The sequence below is a fragment of the Homo sapiens genome, chromosome 11 (genome assembly GCF_000001405.40).
Source record: "Homo sapiens chromosome 11, GRCh38.p14 Primary Assembly".
Taxonomy (NCBI): Eukaryota; Metazoa; Chordata; class Mammalia; order Primates; family Hominidae; genus Homo; species Homo sapiens.
The window spans coordinates 67920479-67931688 of NC_000011.10; the positions used below are offsets into that span (position 1 = coordinate 67920479).

Here is an 11210-nt window from a genome sequence, read left to right on the forward strand (position 1 = left end):
TACATAGAAATCAGACCACTACTTCTGCAGAACATTTTACTGGTAAAAAGAACAGCCCACATGAGGGAAAACTGATTTGGTGGAAAGACAACAAAAACAAAACATGGGAAATAGGTAAGGTGATAACATGGGGGAGAGGTTTTGCTCGTGTTTCACCAGGAGAAAATCAGCTTCCTGTTTGGATACCCACTAGACGTTTGAAGTTCTACAATGAACCCATCAGAGATGCAAATGAAAGTGCCTCCGCAGAGACAGAAAACCCACAATCGAGCATCATCGACCCGCAGGGTGAACAAAATGGTGATATCAGAAGAACAGATAAAGTTACCATCCACCAAGAAAACAGCACATGTGGAGAGCCAGGGAGAAGAATAGAAAGAAAAAGAGACAGAGATCAGAGACAGACACAGAAAGTGAGATTGGGGAGAGAGATAGTGTAAAAGAGAGAGAGAGAGAGACCATAAGAGAAGGGAGACAAAGAGATAAAAGGTGCGAGTCAGTAGGTGAGGAGAAAGACTGAAAACTATGAGAAACAGCAACTAAGACACAAAGGAGGTGGGAGACTGCCCGGGTGCCGCAGCACCCACACCGTCCTCTTGCCCCCTGTCACTTGGGTTAAAACCACCGGAAATTCCACTATTGCAAATTTTATATTAATCCTTGTATGTCTGACTTTTCTATTGTTAGTCTACAGGTGTATCCAGCAGCTCCAGAGAGACAGCGACCAGGGAGAAGGGGCCATGATGATGGTGGTGGTTTTGTCAAAACGAAAAGGGGGATATGTAGGGGAAAGAAAGAGAGATCAGACTGTTACTGTGTCTACATAGAAAGGGAAGACATAAGAGACTCCATTTTGAAAAAGATCTGTACTTTAAGCAATTGCTTTGCTGAGATGTTGTTAATCTGTAGCTTTGCCCCAGCCACTTTGCCCCAACCACTTTGACCCAACCTGGAGCTGAAAAAACATGTGTCGTATGAAATCAAGGTTTAAGGGATGTAGGGCTGTGCAGGACGTGCCTTGTTAACAAGATGTTTCCAAGCAGTATACTTGGTAAAAGTCATCGCCATTCTCTAGTCTCAATAAACCAGGGGCACAATGCACTATGGAAAGCCGCAAGGAGCCCTGCCCTTGAAAGCTGGGTATTGTCCAAGGTTTCTCCCCATGTGATAGTCTGAAAAGTGGCCTCGTGGGATGAGAAAGACCTGACGGTCCCCCAGCCCGACACCCATAAAGGGTCTGTGCTGAGATGGGCTAGTCAAAGCGGAAAGCCTCTTGCAGTTGAGATAGAGGAAGGCCACTGTCTCCTGCCTGCCCCTGGGAACTGAATGTCTCGGTATAAAACCCGATTGTACATTTGTTCAATTCTGAGATGGGGGAAAAACCGCCCTATGGTGGGAGGTGAGACATGTTTGCAGCAATGCTGCCTTGTTATTCTTTACTCCACTGAGATGTTTGGGTGGAGAGAAACATCAATCTGGCTTACGCGCACGTCCAGTCATAGTACCTTCCCTTGAACTTCATTATGACATAGATTCTATTGCTCACATGTTTGTTGCTGACCTTCTCCTTATTATCACCCTGCCCTCCTACTACATTCCTTTTTGCTGAAATAATGAAGATAATAATCAATAAAAACTGAGGGAAATCAGAGACTGGTGCCAGTGCAGGTCCTTGGTATGCTGAGCGCCGGTCCCCTGGGCTCACTGTTGTTTCTCTATACTTTGTGTCTTATTTCTTTTTTGTCTCTCATCCCACCTGACTAGAAATACCCACAGGTGTGGAGGGGCAGGCCACCCCTTCATTATGAGATTACAGGCAAGAATAACCCCACCTGGCCACCTAACTCACTCTTGAGAGGCCAGAAGTGATGCTGGAATTTTCTTCCTCTGTGGTTTAAAAAGGGAAAATTAGGGAGAACACAAGGCATGAGCGATGCAGCAATGGATATGTCTATATGGAGCTTCTGTCTGCATCCAGTAGAAAATGCATTTCTAGGCATCAGGTTTAAGAGCGAAAACCTGGAGTCTTGTCTGTTAGCATTCTCCTTCCCCACAAACCAGAGAGGGAATACATTTTGCTCCAGCACATCCGGATGTAGGAAATGTCACATTCCTATTTCTGTAACTTCACTTAAATCTGCTCTGAGTCCCTGGATGCCTGGCAGGTGGAGAATTCAATCTTGTCGTTACCAGCATTGCTTTCCCTTCTCCATGGGCTTATGTAAGAATTCTGGGCTTACACACTGTTGGAAAGCCAGGTAGGAACTACTTCCCCCGAACTCTCCATTCTTCCAGCTGCTCATGATCCATCAGCCTTTTTTGGGCCATCTGCTATAACAAGACCCTCCTCACAGCATCATTCCACTGACCCACAGGCTCAGCCCCAGGGACCCTCACTGTAACAGGTCTCCACTATGCATAGGAACTCACAAAAACCTTCTCTTCATCTTGGCTTCCTCTGATATCCAGCCACTCCCCTCTTCTCACCTTAAACACAGATGGCAGCTCCTTCCCATCATTCCAACCCTTGGGGATTGTCCAGCCAAATTCTCTTCAGACACCAAAGCTTCACCCACCCTCTTCATGGAGATGATGCAAGGGCATCTGAGATCTTTGGAAGCCCAATTCTGGCCTCTCTTTGGGGTGGGCTGAGAGTGGGAACTAGACTCTCTTTTCCAAGTGCCATGTTTATCTTGTTCATCATTATATTATCTCCAATGCCTGGCACATAGTAGGCACTACAGACTGACACATAGTAGGTGCTATTAGTGTCTGTATAATGGGACTCTTGAGGTCGAAGCTATTAGCAGAAACCTACCAAGCAAAAGGATGGAAAACCGACCACCAAAAAAAAAAAAAAAAAAAAAAAAAAATGAAAACAATCATGGCTTTGAGCTCTAAACACACAAGGCACCAGCCCAAGTTTGGGCAATTTTAATACAACAGCCATTTTGCCTCCAAACAAACTGGCACTGGAAACCTCCGTCTGCCTCTTAAAGAGAACCAGTTTCTCTTTCTCTAAGTGGGCAGCATTTCTCCCCGGTGACAGTACCCAGCCCACTGCCACCAGCAAAGGACTGCAGCCAGGAGCCAAGAGCTTGATAGTTTAAAGAATATATTTTATAGGGAAAAACAAAGTAACATCCACATAAATCTGGAAGTACCACCACTTTCCAGAGGCCGAATCCCATTTGTGGAGTCTCTTGCGTGTCAAGCACCTTGCAGTCACCTCAACTACATACTTTTGGGATTCGTTGCAGAGACGAGTGAAGGTTATCTGCAAAACAAAGGAACTAGGGCTCAGAATTCCCCGAGCAATCCATGACAGAGGAGGTGAGTAGAAAAGGGAAGGGTGAAGTCAAAGAGAGAATTCAGTGAATTGGCCAACACCAAGCAAGGATCATGGGACCCTCTCCATGGCTCCACGTCTCAAATGAAGTCAATAAAACCCATCAATGCTTGGTGTAAGTGTTGTATGCTCCCGGAAATGAAAGCAGGGGCCACATTTCAGGTCAGCAGGGTCGGGGGTAGAGGCAAAGGTCATGGACTTGTGGGCCCTGGAGGATGGGATGATTCTGAGACATTGAATCCCTACACTGATCTCAGTAGAAATCTCAGGTAGGGCTTCAACATTCGTGGCCCAAGGACTCTGTGTGCCTGAGAGCAAAAGCCTTGGTGCATGTCCCGGCTCCATCAATCCCAACTGGGGCTTTGAACAAGTTACTTATTTTTTTAACTAACGTTATTTTAATTGACAAATCATAATTGTACACATTTATGTGATGTTTTGATATGTGTATACAATGTGGGATGATTAGATCAAACTAATTAACATGTCCATCCACTAATTTACTGACAATTTTTATGATGAGACATTTGAAATGTAGTCTCTTAGTTATTTTGAAAGATACATTATTATTGACTATAGTCACGCTGCTGTGCTATAGATTTCAAAACACATAATCCAGCAACCCAACTTCTGGGTATAGACAAAAAAAAATCGAAATCAATATGTCGAAGGGATCCCTACATTCCTATGTTCACTGCAGCACTATTCACAATACCCAAGATATAGAATCAACCTAAGTGTCCATCAGTGGATGAAAGGATAAAGAAAATGTACTATATACACACAACGGAATACTATTAACTCTTAAAAAAGAAAGAAATCCTGTCATTTTCAACAACATAGATGAACTTGAAAGACATTGTGTTAAGTGAAATAAGCCAGGCACAGAAAGACAGATACTGCATGATTTTATTATATGTGGAATCTAAAGAAGTTGAACTCACAGAAATAGAGAGTAGGACAGTGGTTATCAGGGGCTGGGGTGGAGGAAAGGTAGGGGATAGGAGACACTGCTCAAAGGGTACAAAGTTTCCAATACGAAGAATAAGTTTTGAACAAGCTAAACTCCTCTGAAAGCTCAGTTCCTCATCTGTAGAGCGGGGACACATCATTAACCTTCTAAGGATGTTGCTGTGAGAGTAAGAGATGATGTTCAGCACAATACCTAATGCACAGTCAGGTCTTCTTAAGCTTGAACCTGCATCGCCATGACCTCTACATCACAGGACAGAAAGGCTCACAGCCAGTGTCTCAGTTCCCAGTGAAAAGTGGATCCCAGACCAGGCTGAATAGCAGGATCCCTAGGGGATACTCCACCCTACTGAGTCAGAATCACCGGAGGTAGAGCCTGGGTATGTATGTATGTGCGCGTGTGTGTGTATGTATGTATGCATGTATGTATGTATGTATGCATGTATGTATGTATAAGAGACAGGGTCTTGCTCTGTAGTCCAGGCTAGAGTGCAGTGTCACAATCATAGCTCACTGCAGCCTCAAATTACTCCTGGCCTCAAGCCATCCTCCCATCTCAGCCTTCAGAGTAGCTGAGACTAAAGGCGCATGCCACCAGCCCAGATACTTTTTTTTTCCTTCTTTTTGGAGAGAGTCTCACTCTGTTGCCCAGGCTGGAGTGCAATGGTGTAATCTTGGCTCACTGCAACATCTGTTCTCGGGTTCAAGTAATTCTCATGCCTCAGCCTCCGGAGTAGCTAGGATTACAGGCATGCACCACCACACCAGGCTAATTTTGCTCTTTCATTGTTGTTTCTTGATTGTTTTTCACAAATAGGACTTCTTATTTGCTACTGTTTTAAGCCTGAACTTTAAACAGATTCTTGGACTGGTGGTTCATATCCATCAGCTCATTCAACTTTAGCATGTGTCTCGTCCCTAGTGGGTTTTCCAGAACTACTACCATCACCACGAAGCTCCATGCCTTTCAAACCCAGGGTTCTCCAGCATTTTTATTTTTCTAATGAAGACATCATGGAGAGGATAAATTGGCAAGCCTTTTCTACATCTTTTCCAATGTTGTCTGGAATCAATTTATTAACCACTTCTTTCAAGTCATTTGTCTGCACCTCTCAGGTCATGATTTCCATCATCTTCTTCTGGATTTGGCAGACTGTTGGTGCTAAGCATAAGAGGTCTTCAGTATCAGATTGTTGTGTTTTTTAGTAAAACCAACACAAAACATAAGAAAGAAGTAACCATCGGTAGTCTTGACATCAACATGAGCTTCGATCATTGTTGAACATTTTTCAACCTTGGAACATATTTTGTCACAGGTAAGACCCATGCCATAGAAGTTAGTCAGGCAATTTTTGCCCTGAACATCTTCAGTAATCAGCTTGAATTTTCTAAATGCAACTTCATCATTCTGCAAATCTGCAAGACTCATTTCAAACACAAGACCCTTGAGACCATCAGATGCAATTTGGGTTCCTTGGGTCCTGGTGACCAAGTCTTTCCAATATTTCTTATATTGAACATAGCAGGTGCTTTCACATCATACTGATCTTTCTTAGAGAATGGACCAATTACTTTCTTCTTAACTCCCTTTTTGCCACCTTTCATAAGGCACTTGTTCTTAACAACCGCCATGGTGCTGCTCAGAGTACCAAAAGGCTAAATTTTATATTTTTGGTAGAGAAGGGGTTTCACCATGTTGGCCAAGCTGGTCTTGAACTGATATCAGGTGATCTGCCCGCCTCAGCCTCCCAAAGTGCTGGGATTACAGGTGTGAGCCACTGCACCCAGCTGATATTTATTTTTTATTTTTTTGTAGAGACAGGGTCTTGCCATGTTGCCAAGGCTGGCCTGGAACTCCTGGCCTCAAGCAATCCTCCCACCGCAGCCTCCCAAAGCACTGGGATTTCAGGTGTGAGCCACCGTGCCCAGCCTGGAATCTATTTTTAAAGCCAATCAAGTGTTGAATAAAATTGCAACTTGGGCTGTTTTTTCTTCGCATTTTTTACATTTCAATGGTTTTTAATATATTCAGAGATATACGCAAACATTACCAGTCAATTTTAGAACATTTCATGACCTCAAAAAGAAACCTCATACCCTTTAGCTAACACCCCCTATCCTCTCATGCCCCTAGCAGCCCTAAGCAACCACTAATCGACTTCCTATTTCTATAGATTTCCATCTGAATGAAATCATGTAGAATGTGATCTTTCATCTGTTTTGAAGGTTCATCCACGCTGTAGCGTATGTACTTTCCTTCCTTTTGTGATCAAATAATATTCCACCATGTGGGTAGACAACAACCGGTGTATCTCTTCATCTGGTGATGGGCATTTGGATTAATTCCCTCTGTGGGTTATTAGGAGTGATGCTATTGTAATTATTCATGCACAAATTTTTGTGTGGACCTGTGCTTTCATTTTTGAATATGAAAATATGGCACATCTCCAAGGAAGACATACAAGTGGCCAATAAGCACATGAAAAGATGCTCAATGAAATTCATCATCAGGGAAACAGAAATCAAAACCACAATGTGATACCACTTCATAGCCATAAGGATGGCTAGAATTGAAGATACAGAAAATTGGCCTGGTGTGGTGGCTAATGCCTGTAATCCCAGCACTTTGGGAGACCGAGGCAGGTGGATCACCTGAGGCCAGGAGTTTGAGACCAGCCTGGCCAACATGGTGGAACCCTGTCTCTACTAAAAAATACAAAAATTAGCCAAGCATGTGGCAGGTGACTATAATACCAGCTACTCTGGAGGCTGAGGCAGGAGAGTAACTTGAATCTGGGAGGCAGAGGTTGCAGTGAGCTGAGATTGTGCCACTGCACTCCTGCCTGGGTGACAGAACAAGACTTTGTCTCAAAAAAAAAAAATACAGAAAATAACAAGTGTTGGTGAGGATGCAGAGAAACTGGAACTTTCATACACTGCTGGTAGGAATTAGAATGCTTTAGCCACTGTGAGAAACAGTTTAACAACTTCCCAAACAATTCTACATAGAGCCCAACATGGGCTCTTTTAATCTATGGAAAATGAACTATGGGTACTTGGCAAGAACAAAGAGGGAGAGAGGAAGAAATGGTGCCATGAGGGCACATTGATTGGTCTCTAGTACACATGGCTCCTACTGCAAATGGTCTCTAAATGACTTCATCAGTTGCTCATAAAAAAAATCACCCTCTGCTCCAATCGTGGAGGAAGAAGTATGGATTGGACCTGGTGAGCCACGGTAAGACTGACTGCTAAACTTTATGAATGATGAGGGGATTTGCACGTATAATCTTGACTGTACTAGATTTTTTATTTTATCCACTGTCTTTGAAAACCTAACTCTTGACTAAGAACTGACTTTCCTGTACTTGCTTTTGACTCTAAGTAAATTTCCAATTCCTCATAGTCCAAAGATGATGTTTTGAGAAATCTCTCAAAGGAAAAATGCTAATACAGGAAGAGTTATGCGGCAAATTTTGCAGAATTTACACAAACTGTACTTGTAGGTACGAAGCACAAAACATTTTCATGAGTAAAGAAAAAAGTGCTGTTCATTCTAGTAGAGGCTGCAGGATGAAGCCGATCAAGGTGCTTGCCCAGCCAGACCTTGGGCTCTTACCAAATTTGTGTTAGAGTCAACTCTGATGGAGTCTGTATCTCAGTCATCTTTTTTTTGACATGGAATCTCGCTCTGTCTCCCAGGCTGGAATGCAGCGGGGTGATCTCAGCTCTCTGCAACATCTGCCTCCTGGGTTCAAGCGATTCCCCTGCCTCAGCTTCCCAAGTAGCTGGGGCTACATGTGCGTGCCACCATGCCTGGCTAATTTTTGTATTTTTAGTAGAGACGTTTCATCATGTTGGCCAGGCTGTGCTCTAACTCCTGACCTCAAGTGATCCACCTGCCTTGGCCTCCCAAAGTGCTGGGATTACAGGCATGAGCCACCATGCTCGACCTCAGTCATCTTTTATCCTCCACACCTGGCAAGTTCTAGACCCACTGCGGTTCCATACAAGTTTTTTGAATAAATAGGAGACAGATAGAAAGTGGGAACTCTGGAAGTAGAGAAGATTCCAGAAATTGTGCATATTTCCCAGAGACTGGCCAAATTCCTCAGTCCTGCCAGAGTTTCTCTATCTCAACTCAAACCTTACGTGTGGGCCCAGACACAGTGGCTCACACCTGTAATCCCAACACTTTAGGAGGCTGAGGTGGGCAGATCACTAGAGGCCAGGAGTTTGATACCAGCCTGGCCAACATGGTGAAACCTTGTCTCTACTAAAAATACAAAAATTAGCCAGGCATGGTGGTGTGCACCTGTAGTCCCAGCTACTCACGGGGCTGAGGCACAGCATTGCTTGAACCCAGGAGGTGGAGTTTGCAGTAAGTCACGATTATGGCACTGTACTCTAGCCTGGGCAATAAAGCAAGACTGTCTCAAAAGAAAAAAATACCCTTATATGTGGGCCTTGTTACAGAATTAATGTTTATATGGACAATATGTACATGGGTGTATGTTAAGAGCATGAGTCATCCACAAGATTTTAGCAAAGTCCATTTAGAAAGCTCAATGCTTTGGGCTTCCACTTGCCTTGCTGCCTGTGTCCTCAGAAGGAGGCTTCATCCTTCCATGTAACCAGCAAATCCTTTATGCAGAGATGTACACAACACACTCCTATCCTTGGCTATAACACCTTGAAAGGTTCCTCTTGGTGGCCCCTGGTGCTCATTTCAGAGTAGTTCAAATTAAGGTGATCAGCTTTCATGCCAATCACTCTACAAATCACTCCTATTATGACCAATTTTTCTAAATGCTTTATTGAATTATTACTTAAAGAAATGTGCACGTAGAAGAGGTCAACACTACTTTTCTTACAAACTGAACATACTGGCCAGGCTCAGTGGCTCATGCCTGCCATCCCAGCACTTTGGGAGGCCGAGGTGAGCAGATTGCTTGAGCCCAGGAGCTCGAGACCAGCCTGGGCAACATAGTGAGACCCCCCACTCTACAAAAAATAAATAAATACAAAAATTAGGCAACAGTGATGGCACATGCCTGTAGTTCCAGCTACTCAGGAGGGCTGAGGTGGGAGGGCTGCTTGAGCCCAGTAGGCAGAGGCTGCTGTGAGCCATGACGGTGCCACTGTGCTCCAGCCTGGGTGACAGAGTAAGATCCTGCCAAAAAAAAAAAAACAAAAAACTGAACATCTCCATATTACCGACACCCAATTCAAGAAACAGAACATTACAGCCCCTTCCAGGATATTCCTGGGGTCTCTTCCATCTCTACTAACCCCTGACTACAAACAGCCTCCACCTATTTCACCTGACATTGTACTTTATGAAAGCAGCAGTTCTCAGATGGGGCTATTTTGCCTCCTGGGGACATTAGGCAATATCTGGAGACACTGGGGGTTGTCTCTACTTGGGGGGAGTTGTGTTACTGCATCCAGTGAGTCCAGGGATCCAGGGATGTCGCTCAACATCCTAAAATGCATAGGGAACCCCCACACATACAACAGAGAAATTGCTGAGCCGAAATGTCAGCAGCGTCACAGCTGACACCCTGACATACACACAATCACACAGTATCTGCTCTTTCGTGCTCAGGATTTCTGTCATTCTAATCATTTCATAGGAAACAGAAATGTCATTTGGAGGTAGGTAGAGTCCAAAACAAAGAAGATTCAGAGTTTTGTTTTTAATCAGCCTGGTGCCTTTAGAGCTAGGATTTAGTTTCCATTCTTTCTGTCTCATTTTCAAGTGATTTTTCTTCAACTGGCATCTGCTGGGCTCAAGACCCGGAGATCCCCACAAAGCTGAGATTCACATGGGAATTTTGTATACACCCACACAGCTATACACTGCCATTTACATGCAGACATCCACCCACAGATACACACATCCGGAGACCAAGACAGAAAGCAAACTCCACCATAAAAGCACGGTTCCCCGAACAGGAGAAACGCACCATTCACTCAAGGGAGGTACCTATTTGTTTAATTCAGCCTGTGATAGGCTGTTGCCAAGCCCAGCTCTGAAAGTCTTCCCCTCTAGGAAAAGAGATGGATTTTTTCTTTACTCAAGAATATAGATCTAAAAAAAACAAACACTTCTGCATCTCAAAGCAGGCTCTACCTCCTGAGCTACACATATTGATCAGCATTTTATTGTCAATTTTCTTTTATTTGAACTGGATAAAAATATAACCTAATTGTGTTCTTACTGACAGTTTGGAATCAGTCACACTAAATCCAATTCTCTGGGTTCTCATGGTTAAGGTGTTTAATTTGGGGGACAACAAAGCAAAAGCATTGGTCATGTTTTAATATAATTAGTACAGGATATATCTAAGGGGTTCAAGTATCACTGTAGCAAGAAGCTCATTCTGCAGTAAAAGGGGGATTCTGCCACTAGGATTGAGTGAGGGTGATTCATGGCTGCACCGTTTCATCAATGTCTCTTCAAGAGTCCATGGAATGTGGAATGGGAAAGACTGAAATAGTCCAAGTCTTGGCTAAGCTTCTATTAAGGGGTGTTAGGAGCTGATAAAATAACCTGGTCTTTATAGACATCCCACACTGTAGTTCTGTAAGCTACAGATTCTCAGATTTTTCTATTTTATAAACCAGTAAAAATATTTTATTAATTTGAGAACCAACATAAGGTTGCTACTTTATTTTCTTTTTGGTAAGAAGGAACTTTTTTAAACTACCAGTTTCACACACACACACACACACACACACACACACACACACACACATACACACAGAAATTCCACCATGATTGGTCAGAATAGGTGAGGTTTTGCTGCAATAACAAACAACTCCTAAATCTTGGTAACTTCAAACATCAGTAGTTGTTTTTCTCACTCATGCTACATCTGCAGGG

General features: G+C 43.5%; 1 protein-coding gene and 1 pseudogene across 1 annotated transcript in view; both read right to left on the reverse strand.

The window, feature by feature from the left end:
- Positions 1-11210, reverse strand: part of LOC112268076 (translation initiation factor IF-2-like) — a 154152-nt gene that overhangs the window by 108470 nt on the left and 34472 nt on the right. The gene's annotated exons all lie outside the window — the stretch shown is intronic.
- On the reverse strand, positions 5129-5977 carry RPS3AP40 (RPS3A pseudogene 40; annotated as a pseudogene).